The sequence below is a fragment of the Homo sapiens genome, chromosome 7, assembly GCF_000001405.40.
Source record: "Homo sapiens chromosome 7, GRCh38.p14 Primary Assembly".
In the NCBI taxonomy this organism is placed as follows: Eukaryota; Metazoa; Chordata; class Mammalia; order Primates; family Hominidae; genus Homo; species Homo sapiens.
In genome coordinates this window covers 130668273-130687465 of record NC_000007.14, presented here as the reverse complement: position 1 = coordinate 130687465, position 19193 = coordinate 130668273, and the positions used below count along the sequence as shown (strand labels likewise).

General features: G+C 43.6%; 2 protein-coding genes across 4 annotated transcripts in view, besides 3 other annotated features; both read left to right on the top strand.

Annotated features, from left to right (window-relative positions):
- The first annotated feature begins 33 nt into the window (after nt 1-33).
- Nucleotides 34-18823, top strand: TSGA13 (testis specific 13). 2 transcript variants are annotated; one of them, NM_001304968.2, is made up of 9 exons: nt 34-635; nt 923-1022; nt 2106-2278; nt 3794-3872; nt 6449-6520; nt 8099-8311; nt 14590-14732; nt 15678-15805; nt 18283-18823. In NM_001304968.2, exons 3-9 carry the CDS (start codon nt 2256-2258, stop codon nt 18450-18452), a joined length of 828 nt encoding a protein of 275 aa, NP_001291897.1. In that variant the 5' UTR covers nt 34-635; nt 923-1022; nt 2106-2255; the 3' UTR covers nt 18453-18823. The 2 variants fall into 2 exon arrangements, with proteins under 2 accessions (NP_001291897.1, NP_443165.1); NM_052933.4 differs by lacking the exon at nt 34-635 and having other exon boundaries at nt 921-1204.
- Nucleotides 10596-11152: an enhancer, noted in NCBI's record as "NANOG hESC enhancer chr7:130361154-130361710 (GRCh37/hg19 assembly coordinates)". NCBI's record gives its function as "activates a minimal SCP1, AML or CMV promoter by ChIP-STARR-seq in naive H9 embryonic stem cells {active_cell/tissue: H9 hESC(naive)}" and the evidence as "EXISTENCE:reporter gene assay evidence [ECO:0000049][PMID:30033119]".
- Nucleotides 18346-18455: a silencer, noted in NCBI's record as "silent region_18648". NCBI's record gives its function as "represses an Ori minimal core promoter by ATAC-STARR-seq in GM12878 lymphoblastoid cells {active_cell/tissue: GM12878}" and the evidence as "EXISTENCE:reporter gene assay evidence [ECO:0000049][PMID:35858748]".
- Nucleotides 18546-19135: a silencer, noted in NCBI's record as "silent region_18647". NCBI's record gives its function as "represses an Ori minimal core promoter by ATAC-STARR-seq in GM12878 lymphoblastoid cells {active_cell/tissue: GM12878}" and the evidence as "EXISTENCE:reporter gene assay evidence [ECO:0000049][PMID:35858748]".
- Nucleotides 18718-19193, top strand: part of COPG2 (coat protein complex I subunit gamma 2) — a 162511-nt gene continuing 162035 nt past the window's right edge. For both annotated transcript variants that reach the window (NM_012133.6, NM_001290033.2), the window contains exon 1: nt 18718-18834. In NM_012133.6, the coding sequence (NP_036265.3) occupies nt 18798-18834 (37 nt within the window). In that variant the 5' untranslated portion in view covers nt 18718-18797. The remainder of the gene's footprint in view (nt 18835-19193) is intronic.

Below are 19193 nucleotides of genomic sequence, written 5' to 3'. Positions count from 1 at the left end.
GCAAATATATTGAAATAAGCAAACACTAGTTTTGAATGCATAAGATACAAAGCACTGGGAGGGGGGCACAAATATGTTTAAAATTTACATTTCCACTTTTAAGGGACTCACAGCTTAAGAGGCAGACAAGACCCGCACATAAGAAAAGTGAAAACAGAACTACAAGACACTATACAATGACATGCACAAAACCCAGTGACTATAGTCTAGAGTTTGGGATTGCATTAATCTAGAAAATCTTCTCTTTAAAGGAATGACCTGAGTAGTAACATAAAGAAAGAAGATTCAGGGCTGGGCATGGTGGCTCACGCCTGTAATCCCAGCACTTTGGGAGGCTGAGGTGGGTGGATCACAAGGTCAAGAGATCGAGACCATCCTGGCCAACATGGTGAAACCCCGTCTCTACTAAAAATACAAAAATTAGCTGGGCATGGTGGCAGGCGCCTGTAGTCCCAGCTACTCTGGAGGCTGAGGCAGGAAAATCACTTGAACCAGGGAGACAGAGGTTGCAGTGAACTGAGACTGTGCCACTGCACTCCAGCCTTGTGACAGTGTGAGGCTCCGTCAGAAGAAAGAGAAGGAGAAGGAGAAGGAGAAGATTCAAATGGCTGAAGAGATTGGGGACAGCATTTTAAGTATGGGGAATAAGAAAAAATGCTCACTGTATTTGAAGAATGCAGTGAAAACATTGGCTTAGGTAGAGGTAGATTAAGAGATGGTGAAGATGTGTGTGTGTGTGTGTGTGTGTGTGTGTGTGTGTGTGTGTGTGTGTAGAGAAGTCATAGGCTGGCAAAATAAGAGATTGGCAGATTTTGTTTAAATATGCCTTTAAGTTTTGGCCTTTTCATTCTCTGTCTCCAACACAGAACACCTCAGCATTCTAGATTGCCTATTCATCACAAATTCCCTCTGTCTCCTCCAGAATCCAGAAAAGAATAATTACGATATTTTCAAAATGGAAAGTTCCCATGCCAAAGACTTTGCCTTCTTCACCAAACTATGATTTCGTGATGTTCTTAAAGGTAGTGTACACCAGGTTTTTACATTCTTATTTTGAATGTAGTTTTAGTGTTTGTGTGATTTGTTTTTCAGCCTGGCCTGCAGACTAGCAACCCAAGACTTATACTGCCCAATTTGACAGCTCATTTTTATTTTAGTTTCACCATATACATGAATTGGACTTACAATTCCAGAAAAATTAAAGGTGAGAAAAGGGTGAAACGCTTATTACTCTATTTCCCTAGAAGGGAACTTTAAGGGTTTAGCTCAGTCTTGTCATAAACTCTAGAAATCATCTTTAGGGTTTGTCTAGACAATCAAGTTAGACATAAACCCTTGTCTATGGGCTTTCCACTAAACCTGTGGGCTTCATAGGAATTTGGGCTGATGTAGGTCTTTTCAAAGTTCTACTTAATTGTCAAGGCCCCTATAATGTGACTCCATTCGACCTACCTGCTTTTATTTCTTCCTACTTAACAACGACAAATAATCTTCCAATTAGACTACTTCATACACTATCCTGCGAGGTTCTGCTCAAGCTCCACAACCTTTAGGAAACATCCCAAGGCTCACTGACCTTTCTTTTCTCTAAATGGTTGGTTCTACCTTATCAGCTTGTATCTTCCATTTCTAATTGTCTATATCAAAAAGTATAGCAATCCTCCCATTCCCAATATATACACACACTTTTCCCAGCTTCTCAGGCCTAATCTATGAATGAGCATGGCTTTGTTGACAGGAGGAGAAAATTGGAAGATGGCTGCTTCTCCACCTTTAGCCTTCTACGGACATATGTGAATTAATTTTATTTCAGATCTTTTTATAGTTAAATCTCATCACTATCATGGAATTAGAATGTCACCTTTAAATCATTTAGTTAATACTTTCCATTTTGCAGATAAGGAAATTGAGACCCCAAGAGATAAAGTGACTTACCTAATATATTAGCATGTATTTGTCACTATTGTTTTACATTGGATAATCGCTTTCTCCCACCTCCCCCGTTTGTGAAATAAATTTAACTTCTAAGAGCAAGCATCATCATGTCTTGTGCATTTTCTACATCTACAATAGCACCTATCAGTCTTTTCTTGTTTCCCATACAGGCTCAAGAATGGGGCATGAGTACACACTGTGTGCTAAGGAAAGAATATTTGGATTGAATTGAACCCCTGCAGAACGTGGACTATTTAGAGACCTGAATTTGGCCTTGGGTGAATACCTGCCTTGGGTTGGCCAACTAGCAGTCAACAGCAATGAGCCAAAAGAGACAAACCAAGTATGTAGTCTTGTTTGCCCAACTAAGTTATAAACACCACTTTATATTAACTTATTGCATAGCCCACAGCACGTTGAATGGTGCTGGTCACAGAGTAGACTCTCATTAAACATATTTTAATTGACTGATTGTCCCTGGATCAAAAACCGGATCTTGGTCTGTATTTCATGGTTGCTTTTGTCAAAAAGAAAGCACCAGCTTGTTCCAGATGGACGCTGTTGGGCTAAAGAAGCGCTTTTCATATAGTTCTATGCCTTAAATTGGCCCTGAAGAAGAGTATCCGGGATTCTGTGCTTCCTTTTAGGTATCAAAGAATCATTTTGAAAAGTGCTACAATAAATATTATACTGTATTACTAATTATTAGATAACTTAATGAAAGGGCACAAACTTTAAGATGTTAAGTTGGGATGAATTTTGGTCTCTCCATCATGGGTCACCTACTCTGTTGGGACCGTTTTTAAGACCTCTGACCTGAGTTAATGGTGCAACTGGTGGCCAGCAACAGATGGAAGGTAGCTATGCTTGAATGGGATAGAATCATGGATTTGGGGATTATTTGTAGCACGCTATAGCCAGTTGACCTACAAACGACATAGCGTGGCTATTTCTACTTTTATTTTGGTCCTTATTCTGCTATCCTCATTTTTAAAGGAGAGAGGTCTAGTTGAGATAGTTGCATAATTCTTCTTACTTTGAGCTAATTTAACCACCCAATGGAACTATCTCCAAGGAAGAAGCAGGCCATTTATCTTAATCATTAACCAAATCTTACTGAGGAGCATTTTACATTATGTTCTGGCAGCAAATGGGTTTAAAAAGAATAGCAAAGAATAGAAGCTGCTTCACCCTATTTTCTGCAAAGAGAATTGGTATTAGGGTGAGGGTAACAGAGTAGAGTACAGAAATATTTGCCATTGTTGATTATTTTTACTACCCTAGTTCTAAGAAGAGAAGTCTTCAGAGATGTGGTTAGGAAGACATGAGAGCCAGTAATCCAAGCAAGGTCAACAAGAATTGGAAACTTAGTTGTGAGGTTCTATTAACTATATTCCTTCTCACAGATTCATTGGCTAATCATTGGCCAATCACTGGCAAAAACAGGGCAATTTCCATGTGGAAGAAGAATAGGCAGGTAAGTATTCAAAATAGTAGGTGGTTTTTAAGGGTATTGTGAGGATCTAACTTCCCAAAATAATTTCCTTAAGCAGTCGTTAGAGCACTTCTGTGAATGGTCTAAAATCCTTATTTTAGAAGAAACCAACTCAATGGATGTCACTGAGTCATCCAAAGGTCCCACTTGTTTAACTCTCCAAACTGAAGTCTTGCTTTTCCCTAGCATGCAGGCTGGATAATGAGTCTGATTTTTTTGCTACTTAGTCAATTACTGATGTGATCACCTAAATTGGACTTGTCTGAGTTAGGCTTCCAAACTTTGTTGAGGGAGACTGACAATATGCAGAAGTCCAGGCCTCTGAGCCAGAAAGTGCAACCGGATGTTCTGCCTCTTTTTCAGGTTTCAAAATGGCAAATCAAAGACTTCAGAAAATAGCTCAGCTAAACGTGAGAAAGGAATGGTTGTCAATAGCAAAGAGGTAAGGAGTGTTAGTAAGTGTTCAATGTTTAATTTTTCTTTGGAGCTGCTTAGTGTACTTAATAAGCTGGATATCACAAACTTCCCTATTGAAAAGCAAAAAGGAGTAAAAATGTATATGGAAAACAAGGTTAACTTGTCAAATGTTATTGAAGAGAAATAGAGCACAGAAAAAGAAGGAACAGGACACATCAGCAACAAATCAGGACATAAAACCCAGGAAGCAGAAACCTATCTTAGGGAGTAAGAGCGTGTCAAACCCTAACTTACGCAGACTTTACAACTACCTCTTGTAGCAAAACTCCACTGGGTATCTTGGTTGTTTTCCCATGTTTACCACATTCAAGTGAATTTTCCAGGCCAACTTTTATTTAATCAGCCACAGATAGTGAAATTCAACATAACAAAACTAAAAACACATTCCAATTTGGACAATCTTGTGGGTTTAGTCAACTGCTAGAGACTAATTTGGAACAGATATGCAATACTTCAAAAAACTTCAGGAGTAAAAACATTTTCACCAGGGAATTTCCCCCTAAAATTATTTTTTTTAAAAAACCTGTAAGAGAAAAGGTCTTCATACCTTTCTCCCAAATAAGTTTTTCCTAACTTCTATGATTCTAAATATGTCATACATTTCATAGTTGTGAAGCAGGTTTTTCATATTTCTGTTTTCAACAAATGAACTTTAGTTTTCCATAAGGTGGTAAAAAATTAAATGATTGAGTCTTTGGATCCATCCCACCATCTCATAGTTCATCCCACCCTCTCTAAAGGAATTTGTGGAGTGGCTTTGCTATGCTTCTTCCCGCTCCTTCTCCAACTGCCAAGAATTGCCAACTTCTGGCCTTTTCTTCCTGGAGCATAGCAGGGCCTCCTCTTAACTCATAGTTCTGTCCCATTCTGACTGCTTCCCTCTTCTCCATTAGCCCTCTTGCTTTATTAACTTTTCAGTGCACGTTCCCTTTCCTCTGTAAGGTGGGTAAGGCACCCACCTTACCATACTGCCTCCTGATGGGGGAGGTATAGCAATCTTTAGAAATGCTGAGCCAGGCTGGGCGTGGTGGCTCATACCTGTAATCCCAGCACTTTGGGAGGCCAAGGTGGGAGGATCACTTGAGCCCAAGAGTTAGTCAACACAGTGAGACCCTCATCTCTACAAAAAATAAAAAATAGGCCAGGCATGGTAGCTCACGCCTGTAATCCCAGCACTTTGGGAGGCCAAGGTGGGCGGATCACTGGAGGTCAGGAGTTCAAAACCAGCCTGGCCAATATGGCGAAACCCCATCTCTACTAAAAATACAAAAATTAGCCAGGTGCGGTGGTGGGAGCCTGTAATCCCAGCTACTCAGGAGGCTGAGGCAGGAGAATTGCTTGAACCCGGGAGGCAGAGGTTGCAGTGAGCCAAGATCATGCCATTGCACTCCAGCCTGGGCAACAGAGCGAGACTCAGTAGCAAAAAAAAAGAAAAATTAATAAATAATAATAATAGCTGGGCATGGTGGCACGTGCCTTTAGACCCAGGTACTCGGGATGCTGAGGAGGGAAGATCACTTGAGCCCAGGAGTTCAAGGTTACAGGGACCTATGATTGCACCAATGCCCTCCAGCCTGGGGGACACAGTGAGACCCTGTATTTAAAAGAAAAAAGAAAAAAAGAAAAGAAAAAAGAAATGCTGATCTGAACACAGGATAATGATGCACTCTTCTTTTTTTCCGATTTCTGACTATGCCAAGCCAGAAGAAGATAATTCAGAGCTTTTATATCCTTGTGTTCCTATCTCCTTGATTCATCCTTAGGCAGGGCTATGCAAGAGGAGAAGCAAGAACACTAGGTCAGCAGAAAGGGAATGGAAAAGGCTCAGCTCCTCTACTATCAGATATGACACTCAAATAATCCACTAACATCCAGGACTACCCACCAGCAAAAAAAATAAAAATAAAAATAAAAAAGCAAAGTGGTAGACACAAGTGTTACCAAAATTCAATTATTTTTTGCAACATTTCTGGAAGAATTTCATACTGCAGAGATGTTCAAAATTGTAACATGCACTGCTCTTCTTCCTTTCTCTGTGAGTAGGTCGGCTCCCAGCTCAATTGGCAGAGTTGACCCTAGGGCTCCCTTGCACCCACAACTTTTAGGTTAATGCCCTTTTGAAACTTGCTTTTCTCCTTAAAGATTTGTCCTGCATGTTGATTTTCACCTCATTTCACTCCTATAGCTATGGAAAAGGCATAAGAAAGAAGTGACTCCTTGGAAAGATTTGTCGCAATCTGAACTGATGCTGCCCTTGTCTATTTCCCCTCCTAACGGCTTTCCCTGACATTTCATAAGGCTGGCCCCATTTCCGCTGACAAGTGTCACGGTCAGGAGGTCTTAGAATCCAGGTCTCCTTGCTGGGGCCCTTGTTCCAGAAACCTAGAGTACAAAATCTGAAGCACTTCTAACTGTACTTCTCTAACTTACTTAGTGTAAGTTAGAGACCAGTTCTCCAGTGAGACTAAGGTGAGGTAAGGAATGGAATACTGTTTAGGATAGGTGCAACTTCAAACCACTAACTTTGATTATCCTCTTTAGATTTCTGATGCAGTCGGGCAATCAAAATTTGTTCTAGAGAACCTTCGGCATTACACAGTCCATCCAAATTTGGTAGGTAGAGAAAGCATTCCCCCAAGATCTCTAAGGGGAAGTTTCAGCAGTGGTGCAGATGCCCACTGCGAGTGTCCCTAATGCCTCCAAGTGTCCCCAGCTTCTGTGACTGTGCGTACTCTTAGGACAGGCAGGCAGAGCTGCCTCTAGGTTATGATGCCAGAGGCAGTGCTGAGGATTGGGGTGGCAAAGTGGGAGATGAGAACTGGGAAGAAAGTGGGTCCCCACAGCTGATTTTTTTTAAGTTGAGGAAACATATTTATGATCAGGAAAAAAATATATTTGTAATCCATTTTCTCCCTTTCACTTCCTTCCCCCCAACCCTCTGCCTTTCTCCTATTGAGAGAAAGGCAAATTTAGTGGGACCGTCCCTTCCTCACCCACACCTTAAGTGACATGCTATCTTTTGTGGCTGCTTTTACTTTTTTTTTTTTTTTTCTGAGATGGAGTCTCGCTCTGTTGCCCAGGCTGGAGTGCAGTGGTGCGATCTCGGCTCACTGCAAGCTCCGCCCCCTGGGTTCATGCTATTCTCCTGCCTCAGCCTCCCGAGTAGCTGGGAATATAGGCGCCCCCCACTACGCCTGGCTAATTTTTTGTATATTTAGTAGAGACGGGGTTTCACCGTGTTAGCCAGGATGGTCTCGATCTCCTGACCTCGTGATCCACCTGCCTTGGCCTCCCAAAGTGCTGGGATTACAGGCGTGAGCCACCGCACCTGGCCTGCTTTTCCTTTTTTAACATTGTGCTTGTGAGTGCATGTCAATGTGGTTGTGCCTGAGAAATGTTGACGTAAATATGGAACATTACGTGGAAGATGTAAATATGGGAAGGTGTTGCACTTGGCTGTGCCAACTTCTGAAGAATTCCTTAAGCGAGATTTGGTCCCTGGTAGCTTTCCCTCGTACCTTAGAGAGAGTTGTAGAGACAAGGCCAATTAGGTTTAGCCATGTAGAAACTTCTCTGCTTGTCCCATTATATTGGAAGAATTAAGTTACCTGACTCCTTTTACCATGGAAACCTTTCCATCACATTGCGCCAGCCCCTTAGTGTATTTCCAGGGGAATGCCCCAAGGGAAGAGAGGGACTGAGAGCTTCAGACAGTTTCTGATAAACACATTTTAGGGCTGCGTGTGATAACTCACTTCTGTAATCTCCATACTTTGGGAGGCTGAGATGGGTGCATCGCTTGAGCCCAGGAGTTTGAAACCAGCCTGGGCAACATGGCAAAACTCCATCTCTACAAAACAAAAACAGAAAAACCCACAAAAATCAGCTGGACAGGGTGGCATGTGCCTGTAATCCCAGCTACTTAGGAGGCCAAGGTGGGAGAATCACTTGAGCCCGGGAGGTCTAGGTTGCAGTGAGTCATGATCATGCCACTGGGCTCCAGCCTGGGCACCAGAGTGAGACTCCGTCTCAAAAAAAACAAAAACAAAACCAAAAAACCCTACAGATTTTGCAGCAAGTCTGTCCAGCTTCTGTTCTTACCCCACAGAGGCTAAGTATCAGCCAACCGATTTGTTAACCTGCTCTTGGCCTAATCTCTTTTTCTCTCTGGAAACCTTTCTGTCTGTTCAGGCCCAGTACTATAAGCCTTTGAAGGCCACTGCCCTGCAGAAATTCCTGGCTCAAAACAGGAAAAACACCAGCTTCATGTTAAAAGTAACACAGTATGACCAGGATAAGACGTTACTGATTATGACCAACAACCCACCTCCCTGCTCAATCACCCAGCAAGACAAGGAGAGTGCATCAAAATATTTTTCCAAGGAGTTACTGCTCAAGGTCATGGTAAGCAGAAGTCTCCTGGCACCCAAAATGTGAACCCTGACGAATTAGGAGTTAGCATTGAGAAGGAAGTTAACTTAACATGGAGAATAGTACTCAGAAAACCTCTTAATTTTTTTGTTTGTTTGTTTGAGATAGGGTCTCACTCTGTTACCCAGGCCGGACTGCAGTGGCACAATCATGGCTCACTGCAGCCTTGACCTCTTGGGCTCAAACAATCTTCCCATCTCAGCCTCCTGAGTAGCTGGGGCTACAGGTGTGCATCACCATGCCCGACTAAACTTTTTTTATTATTTTGGTAGAGACGGGGGTCTCACTATGTTGCCCAGGCTAGTCTTGAACTCATGGCCTCAAGTGATTCTCCAGCCTCGGCCTCCCAAAGTGCTGGGATTATAGGTGTGAGCCACTGCACTTGGTCTATCTCTTCCTTCTTATTCCTGATCCTATGCTTCACATAACAGCATCTGGAGAACCTGGGAATCAGAATTCAATAAGCTTGGGTGCTGAAACTTCATTGCAGGGAGAAAATGGGGTCTTCACTGGAAAGTGTTCTTCTTTGGCCAAAGATATTTAATTTGTAAGTAACAAAGGGTAGACTAGCCACTGACTTTCTAGTTGAGAATAAAGTAGTAAAAGATGAGTCAGGAAATGAGGAATAAAAACAGGGATGAATATCTAAATGGGAAAGGAGTAAAGAATGATGCTTTAGTACACATTACTTTCCAGTTTCAGAAGACGGAATTTGCCATCACAGTAGCCAAACCATTTTTTTTTTTTTTGAGACGGAGTCTCGTTCTATCGCTCAGGCTGGAGTACAGTGGCGCGATCTCGGCTCACTGCAAGCTCCGCCTCCCGGGTTCACGCCATTCTCCTGCCTCAGCCTCCCGAGCAGCTAGGACTACAGGTGCCCACCACCACGCCCAGCTAATTTTTTGTATTTTTTAGTAGAGACGGGGTTTCACCGTGTTAGCCAGGATGGTCTCGATCTTCTGACCTTGTGATCCACCCGCCTTGGCCTCCCAAAGTGCTGGGATTACAGGCGTGAGCCATCGCGCCCGGCCTACACAGTAGCCAAATCTTTGAAACTCCTTTATAGACTAAAGAAATTCAAATTCCATTCAACAAGCAATTGCTGAGGATACAGTAAGCTAAAAACCAGAATATAAAGATGATTACAGGACAGTTTCTGTCTTAAAGGAACTTGGAATCTAATAGGAGAAAGATCAATAAATGAGGTATGTTAAAGTAATAGAAGAATATACAAAATACAGAAGTAATGTAGAATACAGTATTTCTGTTGGGAAAAAGGGAGTGAGTAGGGAAGTGACCCATGACAAAAGAACAGGAAAATATCAAATCAGAGGAAAGAGCAAAAGCATGAAGACATGGGAAAATGAGGTGCATTCAGGAAGATGTAAGAGAGTAAATGGCAGGGCCAGGCGCAGTGGCTCACGCCTGTAATCCCAGCACTTTGGGAGGCTGAGGCGGGCAGATCACTTGAGATAAGGAGTTTGACACCAGCTTGGCCAACATGGTGAAACCCCATCTCTCCTAAAAATACAAAAATTAGCCATGCGTGGTGCTGCATGCCTGTAGTCCCAGCTACTCAGGAGGCTGAGGGAGGAGAATCGCTTGAACCTGGGAGGTGGAGGTTGCAGTGAGCCAAGATAGCGCTACTGCATTCCAGCATGGGCGACAGGGCGAGACTCTATCTCAAAAAAAAAAAGAAAAAGCAAATAGAGTAAATGGCAGGAGACAAAAGGATGTAATCAAATTTGCATTTTAGGAAGACTGTTTTGGAGGTTGAAGAAAGGTGCATTAGTAGTTGTGGAAGAGACAAAACCCAGAAAGATGAGTTATAATGTTACTAAAATAGTCAAGGTGAGAGATACTGAAGACCTGAACTAAATCATTAGCAGAGGAAGTAGAGAAAATTTAATTATGAGATATTTAAGAATCAAAATCTGGCCGGGAGCAGTGGCTCACGCCTGTAATCCCAGCACTTTGGGAGGCCAAGGCAGGTGGATCACGAGGTCAGGAGATTGAGACCATCCTGGCTAACCCAGTGAAACCCCGTCTCTACTAAAAATACAAAAAATTAGCCGGGCGTGGTAGCGGGCGCCTGTACTCCCAGCTACTCCGGAGGCTGAGGCAGGAAAATGGAGTGAACGTGGGAGGCGGAGCTCGCAGTGAGCCGAGATCGCACCACTGCACTCCAGCCTGGGCGACAGAGGGAGACTCAGTCTCAAAAAAAAAAAAAAGAATCAAAATCTAAAAAAGGTCATGATAGCCTCAAGAGCGGGTCTAATCTAACAAGAACAAATTAAATAAATGAGTTAAGTGAAAGTGCAAACAAAGGATTCTAGTAGAAATTTTATGCTGGGCATGGGATTACCCAAGTGAGACCCTTATAATAAAATGTGGTGAATTTGGAGTTAGTGTTTCCATAGTTCCTAGATGGATGACAGTGAGAGATTCTCCTTCAAGTGGAAGATAAAATGCTAATATCCAATGGCATGTACTAACAAAGGAGTTAATGAATTTACCGCATGTGGTCTCTTGGGTCTCAGAATTTGTGCCCTTTGAAGGTAAGCTCACTGGTAGTTTCTCATGGCAGTGGGTGGACCATACATTGAGAAAGGGATAAATGCCAGGCCAGGATTGCCCTGCTTAATGCGCAGAAGGAAATACAAAGCTATCATGTAAACTGGGTGTGGGAAGAGCTTTCTTCCAACAGCCTGCACACTTTGTGAACCCTCCAGTTCAGGTGCAGAATCTAATCATATTGATGAGCAAATTGTGGTACCAGTTAAATTGTACTAATGGATAAAGTTAAGGCTCAAAGACTGGCACCATGGTAATTTTATGGGGCTATCAGACTGGAACAAGCCCAAGAAGATTGAAACGTGTGATATCTACAATGCCTCTTTAATATTCATGCAGCATCCTTTCCTTCCCTTGCTGGACAAATGTGATAATCTTTTGTAAACCTAGAATCATTTACAAGAAAAGCATTCTTTGTTATGCCCAGGCATGCATCCAAAAAGACTGTGAGTTCTAGTAGGCAAGTTATGGAATGTACTAGATATATCTATTACAGTGATTGTCATACTAACAGCCCCTTCTAAGTGAAACTGACCCTACCACAGTCTCCTGAGTAAGGGAATATCCTGAGAAGTTCTATTTTGTACAACAGGACCGTGTCCCCACTCCTAGTTGAGACCAGAGGAGGATATCAGACCCAACAAAGCAAAATTCATAGGCTGGGTAGTGACCTGTGATGTGGATTGGTACCCTAAAACCAAAACAAACAAAAAACAAATCAAAACAAAAACCAACCAACCTACCAACATCCAGAATCCCTGAGCTAATCAGATTCTTGTTTCCAGGTCTCTGAATTGAGAAATGAAAAGATTGAAGCAGTAGGAATGAAAGCTAAAAGGACACATAAGAGTAAGGCTAGAAGACTCAAACCGGCCTGGCGCAGTGGCTCACGCCTGTAAGCCCAGCACTTTGGGAGGCCGAGGCAGGCAGATCACGAGGTCAGGAGATTGAGACCATCCTGGCTAACGTGGTGAAACCCTGTCTCTACTAAAAATACAAAAAATTAGCCAGGCGTGGTGGCACATGCCTGTAGTCCTAGCTACTCCGGAGGCTAACACAGGAGAATTGCTTGAACTTGGGAGGTGGAGGTTGCAGTGAGTGGAGACTGTGCCACTGCAGTCCAGCCCAGGCAACAGAGTGAGATTCCATCCCCTCCCCACCCCACCCCCCCCAAAAAAAGACTCAAACCATGAGGAAGAAAGGTAGTGAAGAGGCCATGAAGTCGAGTATGGGAAGGCTGAAGTTATAGGGAAGTAGGAAGTAGAAGTAAATAAGCAGAAGCTATAGGTAGAAAAAAACCCATATATATATACATATATATATATATACACACATATTTATGGAGTAAAGGTGAGGAGTGAACAAGGTAAAGGGAGAAGAAGGAAGCAGATAGGAAGAAAGTAGGAGAAACATGTGAGTGATATGTTTGCATTAAGACAGTGGTCCTTCACTAGTGCTGTCTTGGATTCCAAATAACTTTTCAGTTACTGTTTTTCTGATATGAGGTCCAGCTCTCCTAGGGTTTTGCTTATGGCTGGATAGTTATCTATATCTTAGTTATTAGGCACATGTGCTCTTACAGTAAAAAACCTATTATTTAAGATAACTCAAATGGATTTCTTTCCCTTAAAATTATTAGGTTGACACAAAAGTAAGTGCAGTTTTTGCCATTATAATTGCAAAACTGCAATTACTTTTGCACCATCCTAATACAAGAGCTTAAAGAGAATAAGTTCAGAATTGAAAAGACATGGTTCAGAAGCAGCAAGTATTAAAGACAAAAAGTCTTTAAGATTCTGATAGCAAAAGCTCAATATGTTAATTAATTAGTTTGGTCATTTATTCATTCAACAAATATTTATTGAACATCTACTATGTGCCAGGCACTATTACGGGTGCTAGGGATATATTAATGACTAAGACCCAGTCTTTGCTCTAATGAAGCTTAATTCTAGTGACTTAGACCATAAACAAATGATCACACAGATAATGTAATGTGATAAATGCCATGACAAAGCAGGATAAGGAGATGGAATGTGATGGATGTGAGTGGCAATGTTAGATAGTGTAGTTAAGAAGGCTCTGCTGGGCACGGTGGCTCATGCCTGTAATCCCAGAGCTTTGGGAGGCCAAGGCAGGTGGATCACGAGGTCAGGAGTTCGAGACCAGTCTGGCCAACATGGTGAAACCCCGTTTCTACTAAAAATACAAAAATTAACTGGGCGTGGTGACACGCACCTGTAATCCTAGCTACTCGGGAGGCTGAGGCAGGAGACCCACTAGAGCCCAGGAGGCAGAGGTTGTAGTGAGCCGAGATCACACCATAGCACTCCAGGTCTGGGAGACAGAGTGAGACTCTATCTCAAAAAAAAAAAAAAAAAAAAGAAAAAAAGAAAAAAAAGAAGAAAAGAAGAAGGCTCTCAGAATTGATGACTTTTTGTTGTTGTTGTTGTTTTACTGAGATGGAGTCTCACTCTGTTGCCCAAGCTGGAATGCAGTGGTGTGATCTCGGCTCACTGCAACCTCTGACTCCTGGGTTCAAGCGATTCTCCTGCCTCAGCCTCCCAAGTAGCTGGGAATATAGGCACGCGCCACCACGCCCAGCTAATTTTTTTGTATTTTTAGTAGAGACGGGGTTTCACCATGTTGGTCAGGCTGGTCTCGAACTCCTGACCTCATGATCCATCGCTTTGGCCTCCCAAAGTGCTGGGATTACAGGCATGAGCCACCGTGCCTGGTTGACTTTTGAATAGACACTTCCATGGGGCCAGGGGATATGCCATGCAGTTACTACACCTGGCATATTGTTTTCATTTCAGATTGCCGCACATTAGTTAGAATATGAACTGTAGCTTTCTCCAATGAGATTAAAAAAAGAAAAAGGAACCCAATGCCATGTCATATGAAAAAAAGTTCAACACATTGGCAATGTTTAGCCTGGAAGAGACAGAGCTTAGGAGGAATGTGATGAATTCCTTCAAAATGTTTAAGGACTCTATGGAAGAAGGACTAGATTTGTTCCTTCTGGACTATAGGGTAAAAGTTACAGGGAGATATCTATTGGCTGATCAAAGGTGAAATCTTTTTTTTTTTAGGTAAAGAAAGATTGAGCACTTGATAGTGAGATTATGGAAGGGCTAGGAGGGACAGACAAACAGACTGGATGACTTAAGATTCTTTCTGAAAGACTTTGATTCTATGACCTTTAGTAATGGTATAATTATTACTTCACAACATCCCATTCCATGGCCTTCTCATTAAGGAGAATGGAATGTGGATGAGGCAGCCATCTCCAAGAAAGGAAGGTAAAGTCCCATGGATCTATTTCCCAATTTATTGCCAAATACTTACTTCCCCAAGGACTTCACTGGTTGAATCCTTCCCCAAACTGGGTAACTTTCTCTGCCATTCACTTCCAAGGGCCAGTAGGCAAATTTAATCAATTACTTAGGAAACTGAACAGGTTTTGGACAAGTAATCTGGCAATGAAAAGAGTGTTTTCCCTCCCAGGGAACGGCTTCCTCTGATTCTGGTTTCTGAGTTCCCACTTCCCCCTCTGACAGGTTTTGTTGCATGATTGTAGGGGAATTGGAACTTAGTCCAGGAACTTGGTCCAAACTTAAAATCCCAAGGGACTCAGCTTACTCCCTCACTCTTCTTCCCTCGTTTCCCTACAGGAAAGTCATCATCAGCACAAACCCACTGAGAACCTCTGGCTGCCCCGCATGCCTCAGAAAAAAAAGTTAAGATCTAAGCTGAAACCAATCTTCCCTTTGATACTGTCGGATGATCCCACATCCAAGCGAGAACAATGGTTTAGGTGAAATCTTGCTTCTTCTTGTACTTGCTTTCTTTCCTATCTTTTCCCTATTCACGTTTCTGGTTCTTTGCCATACAATTTAATGACATATTCTTTGGTCGTACAAAGATAGTAAGACACGACTTTCCCTACATGACCCTAACCTCATTGACACATGAATCAAAGAGAAACAGTCATGCAAAACTAAGGTTTTGCACTGGCAATGGTTTCAAGATTGAGGGGAAATATTCCAAGGTCTGTGCTTTGAAGAAACAGGAAAAAAAAAAAAGTACCCTCAATACAAGTTAGGCGCTATATCACAGGAACCATGTGCTATGAGAACACATTAGACAAAAGAGGTTTTATGTGAAACTACTTACAAGAGCAGCCTATGTGTAGTTTAGAGAGGACAGAAGAGATTCTGGAGTTCCTCCAAAGGTTTACAGTGTTAAGTTCAGAAGCATCCCTTGTCACGGAACAATATTCCTACTTGGCACCAATCAACAGGCTCCTATCATTGTCTTGTCTTCTCTGAGAATGTAGCCAACTTTAAAGTGAATGGTGGGGCTGGGCGCGGTGTCTCATGCCTGTAATCCCAGCACTTCAGGAGGCCAAGGTGGGCAGATCACTTGAGCTCAGGAGTTCGAGACCAGCCTGGCCAACATGGTGAAAACCGTCTCTACTAAAAATACAAAAATTAGCCAGGCGTGGTGGCAAGTGCCTGTAATCCCAGCTACTTGGGAGGCTGAGGCAGGAGAATCGCTTGAACCTGGGAGGCAGAGGTTGCAGTGAACCAAGATCATGCCACTGCACTCCAGCTTGGGTGACAGAACAAGACTTGTGTCTCAAAATAAATACATAAAATAAAATAAAATAAAATAAAATAAAATAAAATAAAATAAAGTGAATAGTTCCATGAATCCCCCTGCCCTAGGATCTACTAAACAAAGAACTTTCTTTGTTAAGGTTTTCCACTGACAATGATTTCAAGAGCGAAGGGAAGTATTCAAAAGTCTACGCTTTGAGGACACAGAAGAAAATGTACCCTCAGCTCACCTTTGCTCCAGTCCATGAGAGAGATATGAGGAAAGATGGTAAGCTCCTCTCTTTCAAAGCAAAGGCTTACTGGACTGAGATTTGGGCTGGAGATACAATCCATGAGGATTATAGATGTGGCAAACTGGCTTCTCTCGTGGTAGTCCTGGAGACTATTTTTCCCTATAGCATGGAAGTTAACAACAAATAGAGGCTCAAAAGGTGCAAAGCTCTGGACCCTGTTTAAATCCTCAAATTTCAAGAAAGCTCTAGCAGTGTTTACTAAGCTATATCACCCAGCACTTTAATAGTTTTTGCCATATTGATGTATTATTTGCTGTTAATTTACTTAGCATTTTTTAAAAGGATTTTTAAAAAATCTTGTCCTAATTAATACTATATCATTGATATCATGGTTTTGATGTACAAATTATATGCTTTTCTGAAACACTTATATCAAATTTATAATAATGAAATTTTAAAATGTTTATCTATGTACCACCTAGAACCACCCAGTGGTATGCATATTATACTTTGAAGAAAAAACTGCTCTAAAAGGGCCAAAGGATAAGTCTGTGTGTCTTAGAGGTACAAAAGTCTCTGGGATTGGGGTAGGGAATGGGGTAGAAGGGGCTTGGAATAAGGTTGTATGGCAGAGGGTACAATGAGAATCCTCCTCACATATTATCATTTATTTAACAGTATTTCAAGGGTTCCTACTAAGTGTCTGACACTTACCAAGCACCAACAATATCACTTTCAATATGTGAAAGAGATGAAACAGATCATAAAAGGCCTTGACAGGCTGGGCGTGTCCGTAATCCTAGCAGTTTGGGAGGCTGGGGCAGGAGGATTGCTGGAGGCCAGGGGCTTGACACTAGCCTGGGCAACATAGTGAGATCCTGTCTCTACAAAAAATAATTTAAAAAAATTTAACAGGGTGTGGCGGCATGCACCTGTAGTCTGAGCTACTTGGGGGGCTTGAGGAAGGAGGATTGCTTGAACCTAGGAGTTCAAGGTTGCAGTTAGCTGTGATTATGCCATTGCACTCCAGCCTGGGTAACAGAGTGAGACCCTGTCTGAAAAACAAACAAACAACAATAACAAGAAATCGAAAATACCACAATGCCTTAAATATTATTTAAATAAAGGTTTGGGTTTTATCCAGTAGGCAGTTTGGACCCAATGAAGAATTTCAGGGCACTGAGTACACATTTGTGTATTAGATATATATAATTGGTGGGTCCTCAGACTTCACCAGCTCATGGTTTTAAGATAAGGTCCATTTCTCCTACTGGGTTTCTCTCCTCAAACAATTCCTGAGACTCCCTAAGGTATCCTTGCCTGTCCCACAAAGCCATTGCAGTGATTGCTCAACCCGTCTGCCAGCCATCCTCAGTCCAAATAGTCCTGATACCGAAGGCCTGGGGTCATATTATACCATCCCTTAACTGGCTTCTTCAGGCTTCTCTGCTCCTGCTATACCTATCTGCCACCACATCCCATCCCATTTCCACCTACTGATGCTCTTAACTCCGTAAATACTGCACAGCTAAAAACAACCTGTGGTATTAAACAAAACTTCATAGATATACAGAAAAGCTGAAGAACAGCAGAGAATGATTGATCTTGCTTTACAAGGGGCTAGTCTTAGGGTCAGCCCCAAATCTGAACTCAGGTCCTTCTACTTCTCAGCAGGTCTCCGGGGCATTACCCACCTTGAGAACCTCTGGGCCTATTATCTACACTGTCTCTGCCTAGGTTCCCAATACCCTTGGGCCAAGGAAGAGGAAGAGGATGTTTCCTTCCCCAAAGCCTGTTTATTTTCACCCCCAGAATAAATGAGTGCAGACTTCTATTTCCTTCAAAGAAAACTCCACCTACAAAGTATGACTTGACCTTTACAAGCCATATAAAGCAAACATAGTAGTTAATAGTACATTTAGTCAAGTCGGAGTTAAATCTTAAATGATACCATATGTAGGATATCAACAGTTCATCTTAAATCTGTATTTCAGGGAAAGAATTTCTCTAGGATGTAGAATGTAATCTAGGTTAGAATTTCTCTAATTTTGCAGGGGCACGATCCTGTTGAGTATAGACCCAATTTACATTTCTAAACAAGTTATGCCAGTGAAGCCAAAGGCAGACAAAGTTTCTTAGCTACACTCTTAGACAAGAGAACAGAAAGCCAGCATACACTCTGAGAAAAAGAGGAACATGAGTTAGGAATGAATGCACGTTAATTTAGTGAGTTTCTTAAGTGTCAATATGGTTTCAGATGGAATCATTGAAAGAAATAGGCTTGAACAAGGAAGACTCTAAACTGGCAATGAATTTTCCACTGGGTTTTGATGAAATGAAGGAATCCAAAAATTATAAAATAGGTTGGGAATGGTATTACACGGTCCAAAATCTACCCTCTAAAGACCAGCCTCTGGTCCCTCCAAGTGCGTCTCCTTTACATCTCACATTAAGTATCCTTCGAGTACTTCTGAAAAGCCACATTCACCAGGGTGCCTGTGCTTTGTCGTAGCTTCCAAGAAGTCAGCGAGTGAAAGGCCAATTTCCAAAGTGATTCGGGAACCACTGACACTCGCATCGCTCTTGGAAGACATGCCCACCAGAACCGCGCCCGGGGAGAGCGCCTTCCGCAACGGGAGGGCCCCGCAGTGGATTATCAAAAAGGCCACGGTCATCGGGTGAACACAGACCCCTCAGTCCTCCCGCCTCGCTCTCTTGAGACTGAGGGGTCCGCAGAAGTCGCCACCCAAATAAAACCACATTCCTGCTGCTGCGGGCGTGGGCTCCCGGGTCGCAAGCCGGGAGGGTCGAGCCGAAGTCTCCGGCGGGCCGCAAGAGGAGAAGGGGGCGTGGCTGCGTCCCGGGGGCCGAGGGCGGCCGGGGAGGGCGGGCCTTGGCCCCGAGTGAAGGCGCGGCGGCCCAACCGGCGTGAGAGCGCGGGGCCGGCCTTCCTGCAGCCTCTTCCGCTCGCCGGCTGCGGCGCCTGGGACGGTTGCGGTGGGTCTGGGCGCTGGGAAGTCGTCCAAGATGATTAAAAAATTCGACAAGAAGGACGAGGAGTCTGGTACGCGCGGGGCTTCCGAGGCCCACCCTCAGCCGCGGGACGCCCCTTCCCCCGCCCGCCGCCACCTGCTTTCAGGCCGGCGGGGCTGGGGGCGTGGGCGCCGCCGTGCCAGGGGGCCGGAGCTGGAGCCGGCCCCTCCCCTCCCCTCGCGGCTGCCCGGGGCCTGCCCGTAGCCCCTCCCCCGGGCGCCGGAGCCTCCCTTCGGGCCGCGCGCTCCCGCCCCGGCGCCCGCGCGCGCCCCGTTCCCGCCCCTCTTGCGGCGCAGCCCCTCCGAGCCGCCTCCTCCCCTGCGCGCGGGCCTCCGGCGGGGGCCGAGGGCGTGCGCGCGTCTCCGCGTCCAGGGGTGCTGGTAGGGTCGG

Bases quoted from the DNA above. Each gene is read 5' to 3' on its own strand.
- TSGA13 (NM_001304968.2), top strand. From the start codon at position 2,256: ATGAGCCAAAAGAGACAAACCAA. The intron at 3,873-6,448 runs GTAAGGAGTGTT...TATCCTCTTTAG, and splicing joins TGGTTGTCAATAGCAAAGAG to ATTTCTGATGCAGTCGGGCA. The intron at 8,312-14,589 runs GTAAGCAGAAGT...GTTTCCCTACAG, and splicing joins AGTTACTGCTCAAGGTCATG to GAAAGTCATCATCAGCACAA.